This window comes from Homo sapiens, chromosome 2 (assembly GCF_000001405.40).
Source record: "Homo sapiens chromosome 2, GRCh38.p14 Primary Assembly".
Lineage (NCBI taxonomy): Eukaryota > Metazoa > Chordata > Mammalia > Primates > Hominidae > Homo > Homo sapiens.
In genome coordinates this window covers 202,114,618-202,134,316 of record NC_000002.12, presented here as the reverse complement: position 1 = coordinate 202,134,316, position 19,699 = coordinate 202,114,618, and the positions used below count along the sequence as shown (strand labels likewise).

Genomic DNA, 19,699 nt, shown 5'->3' with positions numbered 1-19,699 from the left:
AGGTGCTGGCAGGAGCTTCTTTAAATCCGTTCAGGGCCTTTGTCTATGTATATCATTTCTGAGGCATGCACACCCTTTGATGGCTAACATGCTGTCATGGAACATACCCCATAACTTGCAATGTTTCATCACCATGGAGGGGATATATCCATTGCCAAACAGGTCTCAGAAAGCATCTTTGCCTTCTCATAGCTTTGCACAGGGACTTGCTGGCCCCAGCAGGAACCAATGGGAGAAGGCCTGAAAGTCAGCCTCAGTCACTTCATGGTTTTGTGTTTTTTTGGTCATAAATGGAAAATGCAAATGCAAATTCCAGATTATTAAAAAAAAAAAATTCTCCCCAGTATAAACTTAACCATAAAAGGAAGGATAATTTTGGTCCTTCTGACCTTTCCTTAAGAATATCTAAAAATACTTTATTTTATATGATGTGACTCAAGACACCTATGACCTACAGAGTGTTTGTAGTATTATAATAAATTTTGAGTCTGCTTGTTTAATGCAGGAGACTAAGACCCAAGATGGCCTTTTGGTATTGTCATTATCAAATTCTTGGGACGAGATTTAAGATCCTGTTTATGCTACACATTTTCACTTTAAATCTTCCTGAATGAGGAGGAGGGTGAGATGGGCGTAGGGAATAGTTGCTGGAGGCCTGAATAAGTCTCCAGGCAAAAGACATCCCCCTGGGAGCTCTAACTAGGGAGTCAAGTAGACAGATCTAGAAAATATGAGTCAGTCTGAATTTAAATATGGAAGTACCCAGTAAATGCAAGGGCAATATTTTTCTTCCAATTTGGGATAACAGTCCTTTTACTTATATCTTTTTAGATTAAGCCTAGCTAAGTCTCAAGGGTCTAGCTTTAGCTTTGGGAATACCAATCTCTCTCAAAAGTTCATAAATTATTTTTTATGGAAAGGTCTAAAGGCACATGGCAGTTTACCAAGCCCAGAATGAAAGCCTAGCTAGAGGACTGAATTTAAATTCGAGATGCATAACAGCAAAATGTCAACCACGCGAGAAACCCTCCAATCAAGAAACATCACAGGATTAATAAGGATATCTATGGTGGAAGACTGTGTGGAGGAAAGTAATTCAGAAAAAAGGCTGAAGGTGGAACTGCATACAAAACAGCCAGCAAATGTCATTCACGTGGTGGTCTCCATTCTCCAGAAAAAAAAAAAATATATATATATATATATATATTTTTTTTTAGACAGTCTCACACTGTCGCCCAGGCTGGAGTGCAGTGGCACGATCTTGGCTCACTGCAAGCTCCACCTCCTAGGTTCACGCCATTCTTCCACCTCAGCCTCCTGAGTAGCTGGGACTACAGGCACCTGCCACCTCACCTGGCTAATTTTTTTTTTTTTTTGTATTTTTAGTAGAGACGGGGTTTCACCGTCTTAGCCAGGATGGTCTCGATCTCCTGACCTCGTGATCCACCCACCTCTGCCTCCCAAAGTGCTGGGATTACAGGCTTGAGCCACTGTGCCTGGCCTGAAAAAAAAAATATATATATATATACGCATATATATATGTATATATGTATATATATACATATATACTATATATATACATATATACTATATATATATACATATATACATATATATATACATACATATATATATATGTATTTTGTGAGGAGTCTTGCTCTGCCGCCCAGCCTGGAGTGCAGTGGCACAACCTTGGCTCACTACGACCTCTACCTCCTGGGTTCAAGCAATTTTCCCTGCTTCAATGTACCCCTCCCGCGTAGCTGGGATTACAGGTGTGTGCCACCATGCCTGGCTAATTTTTGTATTTTCAGTAGAGACGGGGTTTTGCCATGTTGGCCAGGCTGGTCTTAAACTCCTGACCTCAGGTGATCTGCCTGCCTCGGCCTCCCAAAGTGCTGGGATTACAGGTGTGAGCTACCACAACTGGCCAGAAAATATTATTTTTGGTCACTTCTTCTCAAACAAATAAAGATATCTGGGGTCCCAGTCCCTAGTCTTATCTCTTCCAATCCAGTCTCTACATAGCTGGGAGTCATTTCTATAAAATAAAAATCTGGTGATGTCAATTCCTGTGTAAGCAGAGTCCCACCATCATTGGCGTAAATTCCTTAGCTGCTTTCATTTTTAAAAATTTTTTGAGATGGAGTTTTGCCCTTGTTGCCCAGGCTGGAGTGCAATGGCATGATCTCGGCTCACCACAAACTCTGCCTCCTGGGTTCAAGCGATTCTCCTGCCTCAGCCTCCCGAGTAGCTGAGATTACAGGCATGCACCATCACGCCTTGCTAATTTTGTATTTTTAGCAGAGATGGGGTTTCTCCATCTCTGGTCAGGCTGGTCTTGAACTCCCGACCTCAGGTGATCTGCCTGCCTCGGCCTCCCAAAGTGCCAGGATTACAGGCATGAGCCACCGCACCAGGCCTCTTAGCTGCTTTCTATGGCCCTTTATGATCTGGCTCCTGCCTCCTTTGCAAGGTGCATTTTTCATCACTCCTTCCCCTGCATGTACCCTGGGGTGCAGTCATTACAAGTTGCTTCAGTTTCTCCATGCTGCCATGCTCTCTCACCTTTATATTGTCCTTTCTCCTAGAGCATCCTTTCTTTACCACTCGGCTAGTTCCTACATACATTCTTAGAAACTCTGCTTAAGTGTCCTCTCCTTCCAAAAGCCTTCTCAACCTCCAGGCTGAGTCAGTCTGAACTCGTTCATAGCTCTCAACACATTCCACCCCTGTGGACTACTTTAAGGCATGGACGTGGTCTCTCAACTGTATTTTTGTGCCTACCATAGTATTTGTCACTAGTAGATGGACAATTAGTGTTTGTTGAATAAATGAATGAGCAATATCTTTCTGCTTTGTAAAACATACTCACAGACTGGGCCCAGTGGCTCACGCCTGTAATCCCAGCACTTTGGGAGGCTGAGGCAGGTGGATCACCTGAGCTCAGGAGTTTGAGACCAGCCTGGCCAACATGGTGAAACCTCATCTGTACTAAAAATACAAAAAATTAGCCAGGTGTGGTGGCGTGCGCCTGTAATCCCAGCTACTTGGGAGGCTGAGGCAGGAGAATGGCTTGAACCCGGGAGACAGAGGTTGCAGTGAGCGGAGATTGTGCCATTGCACTTCAGCCTGGACAACAAGAGCCAGACTCCATCTCAAAACAAACAAACAAAAAAACATACTCACAGATTCTTTCTGTTGAACACAGTCTGATTCTGATGTCTACATTAATTTTCAAAGGAGGGATTATGGGGAAACCAAGACAATAGCAAAATCCTCAGGCCACAGAGAGATGTATGAAAGGAGCAAGGGAGAGAAACTAGGCGGGAAACATCCTTAAGAAAAGACTCATACTTCTTTCTTTGTTTTTTATTTTATTTATTTATTTATTTATTTTTGAGATGGAGTCTCGCTCTGTTGCCAGGCTGGAGTGCAGTGGCACAATCTTGGCTCACTGCAACCTCTGCCTCCTGGGTTCAAGTGATTCTCCTGCCTGAGCCCCCAGAGTAGCTGGGACTACAGGTGCCTGCCACTGTGCCTGGCTAATTTTTGTATTTTTGGTAGAGATGGGGTTTCACCATGTTAGCCAACCTGGTCTCGAACTCCTGACCTCAAGTGATCCTCCTGCCTTGGCCTCCCAAAGTGTTGGGATTACAGGTGTGAGTCACTGCGACTGGCCTTAAGCTTCTTTATAGTTGTGATGAGAAGACAACATAAATGTCTGAAGGGTGATTAAATAGAAAATACTATTTAAGAATTACTAGTTAATGAAAGTTATAATTTTTGATCACTCTGACAGAAGAAAATTTAATATTCTAAACTTTAATATAGGTTGAGAAATATAACTCACACACAAAATCCTAAGATCTACACCTGCTTTAAAATGCATTGTGCTAAGTATTACTTCACTACTTGGGCAAGGTCCTGATCCCTTAATGCATATCATGCACTAAATGAACAGCAGATCCTGGCTACTTGGGAAGGACACATCCTGAGAATTTTAAGAATCCTTAGATTTGTGAATACTCCTAGTGTGTATCTATTGGTGATAAAACTAAAAAAGAATTGGAAAAAGAGAGAGAGTTCTTTGGACTCTTAATGAGACTATAAATAAAGGCTTAGAGTGATTTATTAAACTATTTTTTTGGCAGAGAACCATCACATTGTTAGACCACTTCACTTTCTCTTACTTCCATCACGAGTCCCAGCAGTCAGCTTTTTTTTAGGGCCATTAAAAATGCATGTGTATGTATCTATGTATATGTAAAGAAATCAATGTTCTTCTGTTTGAAAAGTAACTGCACAAGAGCTATTGCAGATGTTATAATGAATTATAGACCACAATATGAGACGTGTGAGTGCTGCGAGGCTGGCTAGGCTCACTCACTAGCTCAGTAATAGTCTCTGTCTCCCAGCCTTGCAATATCAATGATTTGACTTCATGCCTCTGTAAAATGACAAATTGTGTGTGTCCCTGATGTTTTATTTATTTATTTTTTAAATATTTTTAGAGACAGGGTCTTGCTATGTTGGCCGGGGTGGTCTTGAATCCTAGCCTCAAGTAATTCTCCAACCTTGGCCTCCCAAAGTGCTGAGATTACAGCCATGAGCCACCACACCGTGCCACTCCCCTGACTTCTGAGGTCATTTCAAATAGCTGAAATCAACCTTCATGTCCACAAATACCCAAAGACTACCATCTACACAATCCTTTCAGAATCCTATCACTTTTATCTGAAAATAGTAATTAAAACCAAATGACCAAAAAGAACACAAAAAATTGTGAAAGCTCTAGGCCAGGCGTGGTGGCTCATGCCTGTAATCCCAGCACTTTAGGAGGCCGAGGCGGGTGGATCACCTGAGGTCAGGAGTTCGAGACCAGCCTGGCCAACATGGTGAGACCCTATCTCTACTAAAATTACAAAAATTAGCCGGGTGCGGTGGCGGGTGCCCGTAATCCCACCTAGTAGAGAGCCTGAGGCATGAGAATCACTTGAACCTGGGAGATGAAGGTTGCAGTGAGCCAAGATTGTGCCACTGCACTCCAGCCTGGGCAATAGAGTGAGACTCTGTCTCAAAAAAAAAAAAAAAATTGTGAAACTTCTATAGGTGTTCCAACGAATAGATGTTTTAAATTGGTCTTTGAACTCAGTTCCAGGGGGTATCAGGTATTTTATTTTTTTATTTATTTATTTTTTTGAGATGGAGTTTTGCTCTTGCTGCCCAGGCTAGAGTGCAATGGTGCGATCTTGGCTTACCGCAACCTCTGCCACCGCGACCCTGCCGCTGGCAGGAGAAGCAATTCTCCTGCCTCAGCCTCCTGAATAGCTGGGATTACAGACAGGTGTGAGCCATTGCGCCTGGCCCAGATACTTTCAAAGTAGTGTTATATCTATTCCCTTAGCAACAAATGGGGAATATTAAGCACAAAGTGATGTAAAAATGTTTTTGTTAAGGTCATTGGGCAAATCAAGGGAACAAATAAGGTTCTAAGTTGTGAAAGAGGCACCCTATGCTTATATGTGGAATGCATTTTCCTGTGGAGGCTGTTCTGCATAGTGATTAAGTTTCCAAGTCAACCTGAAAAAAAAAAAAAAAAGGCCTGTTTCACCCATGTTGTAGCTAAACCTTTTCAATCATCAAATGCTTATGCTGCACTGACAGTAGGTATGTGTTAGCAGCATATTACCAGGTAATAGGGTTGCTGGTGGGCCCCTGCCCTTAAAAAGATTGCAGTCTAGTGACTGAGTGTGGTGCCTCACGCCTGTAATCCCAGCACTTTGAGATGCCAAGGTGAGAAGATGGCTTGAGCCCAGAAGTTGGAGACCAGTCTGGGCAACATGGTGAAACCCCATCTCTACCAAAAAAAAAAAACCCCCAAAAAGACAGGCATGATGGCAAGCACCTGTAGTCCCAGCTACTCAGGAGGTTGAGATGGGAGGATCGCTTGAGCCCAGGAAGTCAAGGCTGCAGTGAGCTGAGATCCAGCCACTGCACTCCAGTCTGGGCAACAGAGGGAGACCCTGTCTCAAAAGAAAAGAAAAGAAAAAAAGCTTGCAGTTTCATGGAGAGAAAAGTCTAGTCAGTGGACAATGCAGTGAGTGAGCTGCTGTGGCTGTAACTGGGTAAGCATGGTTCATTGTGCACATGTTGGTGGTGAGTGTCACCCCATCGGCAGGGAGGGGGAAGGGAAGGAGGGTGAGGGGAAAGTGGAAAAACCTTTGTGGGGAGGTCAGTTTGAGGCCTAAATTGGGAAGTGAAGGATTAGCAGGAGTTAACTAGGACAAGGGGTAAAAGTCAGGGGATAACAGAAAGTAGAATGGTGGTTGCCAGGGGCTAGGGGAGGGAGGAGGGGGAGTTGTTTAATGGGTATAAAGTTTCAGTTTTGCAAGATGAAAAGAGTTCTGGAGACTGTTTGCACAATAATGTGAATGTACTTAACGCCACTGGACTGCACACTAAAAATGGTTCAGATGACAAATTTTATGTTATCTGTATTTTACCGCAATTAAAAAATGTTGGATAGGAGATGAGGAACTGTGCTCCAGGCAGAGGGAACAGTACATTCTAAAGCCTGGAAATAGGAAAGAGATTTGCATTAGTCCAAGGTCTTTTAGTTACTAGGAATAGAGGCGAGAAGGATCAAAACGTTCTCTCCATTTCCTGGATCTACAGCTTTCTGCGAGGCCTCCTGTAATAGGCTAAGTTAGCCTTTGGGGCACTGTCATGGCCCCTTCTGTACTTTTCTCCTTCTAGTGTCCCCTTCTCCATGCAGCTGATGTTCTGCTGTTCATCTGAGCCCCCTGGGGCACTCCATGGGCCAGGCATATTTCAACCCTTAAGCTCTATATACTTCCAAATTACTCACCTTTGTTTCCACCCCATCAGAATTTTTAGTCCCTCAGAGCAGCTGTTTCTAGCTAGGTTGCAAGAGAGCAACTATCTGATTAAATACACTTTTACTAAAGTGTGACAGACTATTCACCTCTCTGAAGTTTCAGAATCTTAAGAGGATACTTCTTAATCCAAGGTTAGTTTTTTATTGGTGAGATTTTAATAGTAGAATGAAGGGAAATGGTAACATTTTAGGTGCTATTAGAAAGAATATTTTGGTTTGCAGAGCTAGCCGGTAAACAGGCTTATCTTGCTTGAAAATTTGTTTCAGGACTTTGATTCTCCCAAACTGTTACTTTTTTTTTTCCAGCTTCTCCTCTTCTCCCTATGATATCTCTAGAAGTTGCAAATCCTTTTTAGTGTTACCCACAAAAGGGTGTCTGATGCTGAGTAGGGGGAATTGGAGGGGGAAACGGAGGTTGGACAGAAGCCATTTGTTTGCATATGTCATTACTAAGTCAAGGACTTCCTAAACTCTCATATATTGTCAGATGGAATTGCCCCTCTTTAGACCAATGCTACTATGAACCATGCTTAGTCATAAAAATACAGGTTCCTTGGGTTCAAATCCTAACTTTACTACTTTGTGTGACCTTGGGCAAGTCACTTAACCTCTCTTGAGCCACATTGTCCTAGATGAAAAATGAAGATAATAATAGGATTTATCTCCTATCACTACTGTAGGGATGAAATGAAATAATGAATGCAAAGCACTCAGCATGATGTTTGGCATATCAGGAATATATAACAACAGTAGCTGTCACCACCACCACCACCACCACCACCACCACCACCACCACCATCATCATCATTTTTACTGAGGGCTCCTATTTAAGAGCTGCTCTGGCCCAGTTCTAACCAATGCATGAGAATGAACAAAAATGGCATGGAAACTCTTTCTACCTTCGTCAGGATGTCTGCCCAAGGAAGATGGCAAGGGGGAATGCAGAGGGCCAGACTCCCAGATATTTCTCTGCTTACAGATTTTGAGATTGGCAAGGATACAGTTGTGACTTTTCTCTTAGTTTTGCAATCTCTGGCAAAAACAATCCTTCCACCCTGATTTGCCTATAGCCCTTGATCTGTGGCACTGCCTCCCGCCTGTTCCTACAGCAGCTTCTTCATGCAGGATTCATTGCTGCCCAGCCCCAAAAGAAGCAGCCAGGAGGCCAGGAGTGGTGGCTCATGCCTGTAATCCCAGTACTTTGGGAGGCTGAGGTGGGCAGATTACGAGGTCAGGAGTTCGAGACCAGCCTGGCCAATATGGTGAAGCCCCGTCTCTACTAAAAATACAAAAATTGGCCAGGCTTGGTGGCAGGCGCCTGTAATCCCGCCTACTCAGGAGGCTGAGGCAGGAGAATTGCTTGAACCCGGGAGTCAGAGGTTGCAGTGAGTCAAGACCTTGCCATTGCACTCCAGCCTGGGCGACAAGAGCGAAACTCCATCTCAAAAAAAAAAAAAAAAAAAAAAAAAAAAAAAAAAAAGCAGCCAGGAACACCACTCACATTTCTCTGTTAATCAAAGACTATTTTTAGGAGAGAAAGTCTCCAGGTCATCATCCTTCCCTTGGTCTGAAGCAGCAGCAGCCATGTCTGTGGGTGGAGGATGAGCTACAAAGTCAACCTATACTCCCAGTTTTTGCAGATCTCTCCATGGGGGAAATGAAATAGAAAAGGAATCTGAGGAGAGGCAGACCTGGCCTCAGTCTTCCATTGAAAATACAAGCCTGAGTCTTTCCCAGATCGGCTCCTAGCTTGTGGTGTGTGCAGGCTGAGGGATGCACGACTCCAGGGGACAATGTCTACCTCATTATTTAGGGAATTGTGCAGTGGATTACCTGCAGGACCCACAGGACATCCCTGCAAATTATCCTTCCCCAGGCCAGCTAAGCCCAAGCACTTGGTTCCACCCGACGTCTCTTCCTCACTAATATTTACACTCAGACCACGGGGCTGTCCATGAGTAACTCAACAGAACAACACATTTCTCAGGCTTTCCAAGAAGCAAATCCTCTCTGCTACTTATTGGTATATTTGGGGAGAAATTGTGGGTTTCTGGAGGTCTATATATGAAATAATATGATCATGAGTCAAATTACATAGAGAAGTCGAGGTGACTTTTTAGTGGAAAAGCTTACCTTTTAGGAAATGCTGACTACTAGGCCCTTCCTCTTCATGGCTGATATTTGAATTGACAGATTCATAGGCTGAAAAACAGTAAGATATTTTACCTGAGAGCGGGAAAAAGTCTTGTAAAAATTTATTCCCTTATCCGAAGACAGGGGAAAACATGAAGTGATTGCCTCAGTGTTTAAGCTTTGCAATGAACTGTTTCTTTTTTTTAAATTTTTGAGATGGAGTCTCTTTCTGCTGCCCACGCTATAGTGCAGTGGCACGATCTCGGCTCACTGCAACCTCTGCCTACAGGGTTCAAGCAATTCTTCTGCCTCAACCACCTGGCTAGCTGGCATTACGGGCATGTGCCACCACGCCTGGCTAATTTTTTGGATTTTTAGTAGAGATGGGGTTTCGTCATGTTGGCCAAGCTGGTCTCGACTCCCGACCTCAAGTGATCTGCCCACCTCAGCCTCCCAAAGTGCTGGGATTACAGGCGTGAGCCACCGCACCGGCCTTGAATTGGATGTTTTTGAAAATCCACAGATGATATTCTGGAGAGAAGGTTGATCTAGGATTAAAAAAGCATTGAGGAAAATAATGTTTTTATCTAAGATGTTTAAAGGTAAAATTCTGTAGGGTCCATGATGATAAAATTCTGTAAGAAGAACTTTTGACAAAATAAGATCATGAAACAGTTAACGTTTGACACATGCTGCAAGATGCCCAGATTTGAACAGCAGCTGTGTCTCAGTGTGTGCAGCCATGGGGGATGACAGACACGCACAAAAAGCCCCCCTCTCCAGTTGTAGCACAAACAGAGTGTTGGACCAGGGGAGCCAGGAGGGATTCTAGTCCATCTGATTCTAGCCAAAAAGACAGACAGGCTTTTTCACAGCCCCTGATGAATTTTTTTTTTGTGATCTGCTAGTCACCTGGGGTGAGAATTATTTTCCTAGCTACCCTTGTCAGTCAAAATGAAAATTAGTTAAAACAATGCTGTCTTAATGACTGATGAGAATTAGAATGAGACTTGTGAAAGTTAAGGGAGAGGTAATAGCAAAGAGGTCAATTGAGTGGGTCCTATATGAAGGGTTTTTTATTTTTATTTTTTGAGATAGAGTTTCGCTCTGTCACCAGGCTGGAGTGCAATGGCACAATCTTGGCTGGCTGCAACCTCCACCACCTGGGTTCAAGCAATTCTCCTACCTCAGCCTCCCAAGTAGCTGGGACTACAGGTGCCTGCCACCAACACCCGGCTAATTTTTTTTGTATTTTTAGTAGAAACAGGGTTTCACCATGTTGGCCAGGCTGGTCTCGACCTCCTGACCTCAGCTGATCCACCTGCTTCTGCCTCCCAAAGTGCTGGGATAACAGGTGTGAGCCACCATGCCCAGCAGGAAGAAAGGTTTTTTAAAGGGAAATTTGGTGTGTTTGTATGAGAGAGAGAGAGAAGCGGAGAGAGAGAGAAGGGAGAGGGAGGTGTGAGATATCGGGGAGAGAGCAACAGAGAAGAAAAAAAGGAATCCTAGAAAATTCAAACCGGAAAAGACTTAGAAATCTTCTAGTCTGCCTAGCCACCAAACTCATCTCCAAATAATTTTATTTATTTATTTTTTGCTTCATCGTCTCATTACCAATAACAAATAGACTAGAGAGGATGCCAAGAAAGAATGTTTGGGTTTTACTGATTTGCTAAACTGCGGTGGGGCTTGACAAAGCCTGCCTCTCGGTGCTCCTGCATCTCAGGGCACACACACGGTCACGTGCGCACCGATAGCTGAGGCTGAGCAGGCGGCCTGGGATTCTGAGCATCAACACTGGAGAGAGGAAAAGCCGTAATTAGTGTTAATTGTTGACCCTACGGTTCAAGAATAGATGCTCTGGAGAATGGGAAATGAGAACAAACATTAATTATTGAGTAGGGACCTTGGAGACAGACACTCTGGATTAAACGGAGAGAGATAAATTGCATAATGAATGTTAATTTTCCCTCAAAGAATTGAGTGGTGGGTGGTTGAAAGGGAAAAGGAGGCTAAAAAACAGTCACGAAAGAGAAAGCTCTGTGTGTCAGGCGAGAGGGCGGAGGAGGGCTACACGAACACCGTCTGTCACCGCCACCGCCCTGCCCTTTGCCTCGTAGCTCCCAAGAAGTTTGCTCTCAGGGTTTTCCTTAGAACTCATTATTTACCACAGCTGCCTGCTAGGAAGCTCAACCATTTCCCCTACAGCCCAGGAGCCAGAAAACAGCCACACTGCACTGCTGACAAGCTGAGAGGCACATGGCATGGGGATCTATTTTTTTCTGTGTGCTGGTGGGACTTTTGACTTGGCTTGAGGGAGGCTGCCAGAGCGGTGGCCCTGTGGGTGCTGCTGTGGGGACAATGTGGGCTCCAGGCCTTAGTTGTTGTTTTCGCTTAATTACAATACAGGAGACACACATGCCCCCCTTTCCGAAACAACCTTCTTAACTGAAAGTAAAAACAGAATAAAGATAATTTGGGCTGGGCGCTGTGGCTCACGCCTGTAATCCCAGCACTTTGGGAGGCCGAGGCAGGTGGATCACCTGAGGTCAGGAGTTTGAGACCAGCCTGACCAACACAGTGAAACCCCATCTCTACTAAAAATACAACAAATTTAGCCAGGCGTGGTGGTGCACCACCTGTAGTCCCAGCTACTTGGGAGGCTGAGACAGGAGAATCTCTTGAACCCGAGAAGCGGAAGCTGCAGTGAGCCGAGATCGTGCCACTGCACTCCAGCCTGGGCAACAAGAATGAAACTCAGTCTCCAAAAAAAAAAAAAAAAAAGAGCGGATTTGAGTAGAAGATTGGAGATGAGCATTGTAGCCAATTTTATAAAGAGGATCTGCAAACAGTCTTGTCATGGGCGACCCAGATCTCAGAGTGCTGGTTGAGATGCTCACGTCCAGTCAGTGGCCCTAGGGAGCATGCCTTTTAGGCATGGCTGCTCACTGCCTTGCACCAGGGCCCTCACCCAGTGTTGTCTGGCTGATTTTGCAGTAGCCTGAGCCCTCTGCCTTTTCTCTTGTCTGTTCCTTCATGCTAGCTCACGTGTTGGGTTGCATGACATCCCTCCTCAAACATCTGTGATTCCTTGTTGCCTAAACAGCAGCATTTTGGCTCTCTCCTGGCATACAAGGCTTTCCCTGGTCTGGCCCTGGTCTGCCTTTCAGGCCCAGCTCCTCCTCACCCCCAGCATGAAGCCCCTCCACAGTCCACTCACACCACGCTGCTCCTCATTATCCACGTGTTCTCTACGTTCCTCTTTTTGTTCATTCTGGTGTCTCGGCTGGCTGGCCCTCCCCTTCTCTGTCTATCTACTTCTCGTTTCTCAAAGGTCAGTGTAAATGGAACTTCCTCTGTAAAAAGCCCTTCCCAACCTCCTAGGCTAGAATTAATGGCTCCTTCCTGGAATACCCCTGGATTGTGCTCTTAGGCCTCTGTGATGGCACTCATTTCATTCTGCCTTGTGGTACAGTTACTGGCTTGTGAATCTGTTCTCCACGTCGACTCTGAGGTCCTTGAGGGCAGTGACTGCAGTGCCTGGGGTGGAGCTTTGGTATGTGGAGTGAGGACAGACAGGCCTGGGAATGAAGCCCAGCTCTGCCCTTACCACGTAAGTGAGCTCCCTGTGTTTCAGTCTCCTTACCTATGATATGTGATTGAAAATACTCACTTCCTAGGATCGTTGGGATAAGGGAACAAGATGACATGCATAGCAAGGTGCCTGAGAGTGTTTGCTCTCAATATTAACATCCTTCCATGTCCCTTGCATATGGGAGGTATTCAGTATATTGTATCGAAGGAGTCAAACACACATGTAATGGGCCTTCTTTGAGGTTCAACCATATTTCATATTGGAATTTTACTTAATACTTTACAAGATGGAGTGCAAGTGTGATCTGATTTGATTTTCACAAAGTAATGTGAAGTATGTTGGCAGATATTATAGTTGCATTCTGTTAAGGCACAAGGTAAGCTGATGTAAAACAAGAGACGCAAAAAGATAAACATTTATTTCTCTTGCACATACAAGTCCAGAGGTAGGCAGGCAGGCCGATCAGGGTGGCTCTGCTCCGTAAAGTTACCTGAGCACCCTGGTTCCTAATATCTTAGTACTCCATCATCCCATATGGAATTGTTCTCTTCCACATGGTTGAAGCTATTACCACGACCAAGTCCAAGGAGAACGAGGAGGGGAAGGGCAAACAGTTTCCTTTTAAGGAAATGACCTGGAAGTTGCATGTGTTACTTCCACTCACATCCCATTGGTCAAATCTTGGTCACATGGCCATACCTAGCTGCAAGTGAGTCTGGGAAGCATAATCTCTGGGTAGGCAGCCATGTGTTCAGCTAAAATCCAGGGTGGGGGATTCTATTATTAGAATTTAGCTGAACACATTCTTCCATTATTCCTTTTATAAATATTATTCAGTCAATATTCATAATATTCAGTAAATATTATGAGAAATACTCTGGGAGTACCAAATGTGTTCTCTGTGATATTCAGAGGTAGATGAGGGGGATCTACTCACAGGAATTTTAAATCTAGGAGGGGAAAGAAGAAAAATAGTACAAAGGATAAAAGATGTGAGGGAGTGCTTGGTAAGAGACCCAGGTGGTAAGAATGAGTGGAACGTAAGGAAATAGCAATCGTTGTGGCAGAGGTGGTCAGGTAAAGCATCACAGTAGAGAGGGAACTTTGAGGTCCTTGAAGCTTGGAAACCTGGATAAGAGGGACTAGAAGCTGTGTGATGCAGTGGGAAAAGCTCTGGCCTCACTGGATGAAGGAAGATCTGGGTTTGAGCCTTGGATTTGCCATATAAAAGCTGTGTGGCTTTGAGCAAATCATACCTCTTTGGGCATCAGTTTCCTTATCCATAAAATCAGAGGTTTTCTTTTCTCTTTTTGAGACAAGGTCTCACTCTATTACCTAGGCTGGTGTGCAGTGGTGCAATCATGGCTCACTGCAGCCTTGACTTCCCAGGCTCAAGCAATACTCCCACCTCAGCCCCTGGAGTAGGTGGGACCACAGGTGTGCACACCAGGCCCAGCTAATTTTTAAAAGTTTTTGCAGAGACGGGATCGCACTATGTTGCACAGTGTATTAGTCTGTTTTCATGCTGCTGATAAAGACATAACTGGAACTAGGCAATTTACAAAAGAAAGAGGTTTAATTGGACTCACAGTTTCATGTGGCTGAGGAGGCCTCACAATCATGGCAAAAGGCAAGGAGGAGTAAGTCACATCTTACATGGATAGCAGCAGGCAAAGAGAGCTTGTGCAGGGAAACTCCCCTTTTTAAAACCATGAGATCTCTTGAGACTCATTCACTATCAGGAGAACAGCACAGGAAAGAGCTGCCCCCATAATTCAATCACCTCCCACCGGGTTCCTCCCATGACATGTGGGAATTGTGGGAGTTACAATTCAAGATGAAATTTGGGTGGGGACACAGCCAAAAGATATCACTCAGGTTGGTCTCGAACTCCTGGGCTCAAATGATCCTCCTGCCTCAGCCTCCCAAAGTGCTGGGATTATAGGCATGAGCCACCGTGCCTGGCCCAGCAGGTTTTCTAATTGTCACATAGCTCTAGTGGCCCTGCATAGTCCCCCACCCCCACTCCTAGAACCATCTTAGGAGGGGAAGAGTTAGTTGGGTTCAGAGAAGTTGGGAGGGACATAATTAGACCATCTCCACTTCAACCAGATAGTTCTGCTTTTATCTGTTTTATTTACTGGTATCCTCAGAAAGTCTGATTAAATGCTTCTTTTGCTTAAATACTGATGACGGTGATGCCTAAGTTCCCTCTTGACTCTAGGGTTCTCTGAAACAGAACAAATGCAAGGGAGGTAGAATTCATAACTTCACAGGTTCTGTAAAAAATGACATAAGTACCATCATCTTAAAAAAAAGAAATAATACATTCTTCAGTACTTTGTATTGATTTTTTCTTCAAAAAATGAATAGCTAGTGGATTCAAAGCAAGCTATTATTCTTTTTTTTTTTTCCTGAGACGGAGTCTCGCTCTGTTGCCCAGGCTGGAGTGCAATGGCACTATCTTGGCTCACTGCAATCTCTGCCTCCCAGGTTCAAGTAATTCTCCTGCCTCAGCCTCCCGAGTAGCTGGGATTACAGGCACCCGCCATCATGCCTGGCTAATTTTTGTATTTTTAGTAGAGTCAGGGTTTCAACAACTCCTGACCTCAGGTGATCCATCCTCCTCAGCCTCCCAAAGTGGATTACAGTCATGAGCCATCGCGCCTGGCCGCAAGCTATTATTCTTGACATGTTTCTTCTTCGGAAGCCATAAAGTGGTGATGATGCCACCTTTTCAGCTACATATGAGGTAGGGAAGTCTTTATGTTTCTAGGAATCACAAGAGGTTTCTGTCAAAGGAAATGAAGGAGAGTCCCTACTGTGTTTTAGTAGCTCCCTACTGGTGGCTATCAGGACACCTTCCAGAGTGGGCTGTGAGGCCTTACTGGTCTCACTACAGTGAGGGAAAGAACACTGCTTCCTTCTGAAGGCTGGGACAAATGCAGCTATCACAGCCTGCCCTTCTACAATCTCTCAACACTGTGGTACGTGTGATAGACCTAACTTAGCGCCATGCCAAGCCTGATGGGAATCTCCTGTAATTTTTGTAAGGAGAGCTTTTTAGTCAGGGTTCAGCCCAGAACAGAAACTGCCCAAATATTTTTAAGAAGAAACAGAGTTACTATACAGTAACTGCCTCTTATCATGCTCAGTCTTCATGAGCTCAGTGCCCAGAGCTTTGATGCTTCTGCCTCACTTCTGCTCTCCAAATCTCATGCAAGCACATCTAATTGGCAGAAAATAATTTGCATCCAGCTCCCTAGCTGCAAAGATTATCTGGGAAATGTAGTTTTTAGCCTTCTAGCCTCTGTAGTACAGGAACACCCACTGGAAGGAAATGCTGGGTGCCCAGAGACCATATCCAGCCACATTTTCCTTTACTCAAACATTTGACCAGAGATCACTAGTACTGGTAACACCTGCCAACATTATTTCTCATGAGGGTTATGAAAAACACTGAAAAGGCACAAGGGGCAGTGTACACTATAACCACGTGGGGCTCCTATCTTCCTGTATTTCTTCCTATCCAGAGATGGATGGATTGTGGACTCTATGATTCAGAACTGATGTTTAGAGAATAAAAATAATAATAGTCACAAATGATTAATGGCTGAAATCCTGTTTCAGGATTTAGACACAAGAACTGCTCCACCGAGAGAATCTCCTTGGGGAAAGGGGCATATTTAGAAACATGCCATGTTAGGAGAACCTTAGAAATCATCAGTTTAGCATTTTCCAAAGTTTGCCAAAAACTTTTTAGATCCACATGATGCTTTACCAAAAACAAAGGGATTCAGTGATCAAATAAGTTTGGGAAACAGTGCATATCCCCATCCTGAAGAACCACGGTGCACATCAGCATATCGGAGGCTCTAGGAAGTCCTGCGGTAAGGGATCTGCTTAACTTTGGTCCACTGGTTTCCAAATGTATCTGGCCCTAGAACCTTTCCTTTTTTACACAATGCCTGTTAACCTTCTGAGGAATTGGAGTTCGACGGGACATGTGCTGTGAGGACTGGATCTAATACCAACTCCTCTTTTTCCATATGAGGAAGCTGAGGTCCAAGGCAATGAAGTTATTTGCCTGTGATCACAGAAATCCTGGGCAGTACAGGTGGGAATAAAACCAGAGTTTTTTCTTCTTCCTCACATGGCCTTATCAAAATTAATTGTCCTCCCTTACATCTCTCGGCATCATCAGTAAGGTAACAGCTACTAAGAGATGGGCTACTTAAGGAAAATCATACTTTAAACAGTACCCCACCAACATGGAAGGATTCTTTTACCCGTGGGGTCCCACAACCAACTTATCACAAAGGAAAAATGGGAGAACAGTCACTTAGCCTATGTTTACCCCTAAATGATCAGTGTTTTCAGACCAGCTGGGATATTCTTAGACTCATCTTTCTGTCAACCAAATCACAGACCATCACAAAATGACACCAAGAATACTAGTTATCTAGAATACTAGTTATCTATTACTGCAAAATAAATGATCCTGAAACCTAAAACAATAAACCTTTGTTATGCCTCAGTTTCTGTGGGAATCTTGGAGTGGCTTAGGTGTGTGGTTCTGGTGCAGCCTTTTGTGAGGTCACAGACAGAGTGTCAGCCAGGGATGCAGTCATCTGAAGACTTGACTGGGGCTGGAGAACCTCCTCTCAAGGCAACTCCCACACAAGCCTAGGAAGTTCATTCTGGCTGTTGGCAAGGGGCTTCTGTTCCTTGCCATGTGGACTGCTTGCCATAGGCTGCTTGAGTGGCCTCATCACAGACATGGTGGTTGGCTTTCCCCAGAGTGAGTAATCCGAGAGAGAGAGCAAGGAGGAAGCCTTGGTGCCTTTTATGACCCCAGTCTCAGAAGTCACATACCATCAATTCTGCCATAGTCTATCTTTATTTAGAAGTGAGCCATCATATCCCACTCACACTCAAGGGGAGAAGAGTTAGTTTCTCCCTTTTGAAGGGGGAAGTGTCAAAGAATTTGTGGATGTATTTTAAAACCACCACACCAAGAAAGAGTTGCAAGGGGGAAGGATGCTAATTAAATGACAAATAACAACAACAAACAAACAAGAAAGGCTGGGTGCAGTGGCTCATGCCTGTATCCCAGTGTTTTGAGAGACCTAGGTGGGAGGATTGCTTGAGGCCAGGAGTTTGAGACCAGCCTGGGCAACACAGGGAGACCCCATCTCAAAAAAAAAAAAAAAAAAAAAAAAGCCGGGCATGGTGGCTCGTGCCTGTAGCCCCAGCTATTTGGAGGCTGAGGTGGGAGGATAGCTTGAACCCAGGAGTTTGAGGCTTCAGTGAGCCATGATTGCACCACTGTACTCTAGCCTGTGCGACAGAGCAAGACCCTGTCTAAAAAAACAAAAAACACCCAAGAAACATTTTGAGGGTAAAAATCCATTTAGAACAAGAACAAATACTAAACAGAAACTCTGAAAGAGACCAGGAATTTAAATTTACATGGGACTTGATGCCCAACCTGAATCATTGGCATAAACATCCTTGAACTTCTTTGTAAAACAAACTTCTGAATAAAAGAACTTCTGAGAGAAAACTTCTATTGCTGGCACTGTGACTAGGGGAGTAGATGAAGGATTTGAATCAAGGATAAGCAATTCAGAGGGCATATCCAGTGGTTTGACATGTATCCTTCTAAGTTAACTTTTCCTTTCTCAAGACTTTCAATTTTCTAAATGTTCAATATCCCAACATGACCAAAAGGGTCAAATTCCAGCTCTAGTCTTCACATCTTTTTTTTTTTCCTTCTGAAGGTTTATATTCATTTCCCTATGCTGTCTGAAAGAAGATACCATGATCTAATTGCCTAAGAATTTATTTCCAAATAGTTGTTGACAGAGCCTGGAAGTCTCAGAAAGATCAGATGGATCGTATTCCTTCCTTTACTCAAGAGTTTTTTTTTTTTTTTAATTAAAACAAAAAACAAAAAACCCAGCAACAACTATGATCCCTAAAGAACTTTCCTTTGTGGCACCTGGAGTATTCAGTCAATCAACAAGCTTTTCCTGGACATATGATGGAGATGAGATGTTCTCTAGGACTCATATTGGAAGCTAAACAGAAAACAGATGCAGATACATACAATAATCACAAAAGTGGGATTGAGAAAGAGAGAGAGGAATGGGGCTGAGGCTACATCTAGGCAGCTGTGTGCAATGAGGTGGATTTATTAAGGAAAATGTTCCAGAAAAGATGAACTTAAAGCTATTCTAAATATTTGGGGGAAACTTGAGCAAAAGTTTGGAGAGAAAAGAATGAAGACTGAATTTTTAGGTCATCAAAGAGATGAACAAGGGGTGGGCTGGAATATAGTAGGAGATGAGGCTGGAAGGGGAGGGTGGAGACGGTGATTAAGATGGTTTTGAACAAACTGATCTGCAAAGAGTTCGGTGTGGTTGGAGCAATTATAGGTTGGTGCAAAAGTAATTGTGGTTTTTGCAATTAAAAGTAATGGCAAAACCGCAATTACTTTTGCTCCAACCTAATATTTTGCGAGAGGAAAAATTTTTTTCAGTATACTGTCTCCCAAACCAAACCAAACCAAAACAAACAAACAAACAAAAAAGCCCAAACCAAAAAAATCTTTGCTTATTAATAGAGACTCTTAGAAAGCCAGACCTTTATAGGAAGATGTGGGTTTAAGATCTTTCACCACCTTCTTGAGCAACATCCTGTCACCATCAAGACTGAAGGTCAACCAACTGCCCATGGAGGAAAGGCTTGAGAAAGGTCAGTGGCTAACTCATTCATTCATTCATTCATTCAATAAGCATGCAGTGAATGCCTTTAGGTTTGAGAGGCAAGTAGGATTAAATATACCATCTGTGGGACTGGGACAAGATGGCAGGCATGTCTTCATTTATCAGCATAAGTTTCATCTTTCTCTTTCTCCATGTCATGGAAATTATTGAAATATTTTTCAAAAAATTTAAATGAACATTTATTGTGACCCTTCTATGTATATGTCAGGGACTATGCTAGGTGCCAGGGATACTAAAATGACTGAAGCATCATATTGACAATGGTGACAATAAACTTAC

At 43.8% G+C, this 19,699-nt stretch overlaps 1 protein-coding gene and 1 long non-coding RNA gene across 5 annotated transcripts in view; one reads left to right on the top strand and one right to left on the bottom strand.

Annotated features, from left to right (window-relative positions):
• Positions 1-19,699, bottom strand: part of KIAA2012 — a 131,934-nt gene that overhangs the window by 70,872 nt on the left and 41,363 nt on the right. For 2 of the 3 annotated variants that reach the window (NM_001277372.4, NM_001367720.2), the window contains exon 12: positions 9,035-9,103. In NM_001277372.4, the coding sequence (NP_001264301.2) occupies positions 9,035-9,103 (69 nt within the window). Of the gene's footprint in view, positions 1-3,183; positions 3,725-9,034; positions 9,104-19,699 lie in introns of those variants that run through there. The other variant, XM_017003112.3, reaches the window with a different exon arrangement.
• Positions 17,259-19,699, top strand: part of KIAA2012-AS1 (KIAA2012 antisense RNA 1) — a 29,504-nt gene continuing 27,063 nt past the window's right edge. The window contains exons 1-2 of one of the 2 annotated variants that reach the window (NR_135244.1): positions 17,259-17,430; positions 18,413-19,388. This is a non-coding gene — a long non-coding RNA (KIAA2012 antisense RNA 1). The remainder of the gene's footprint in view (positions 17,431-18,412; positions 19,389-19,699) is intronic. The other variant, NR_135243.1, reaches the window with a different exon arrangement.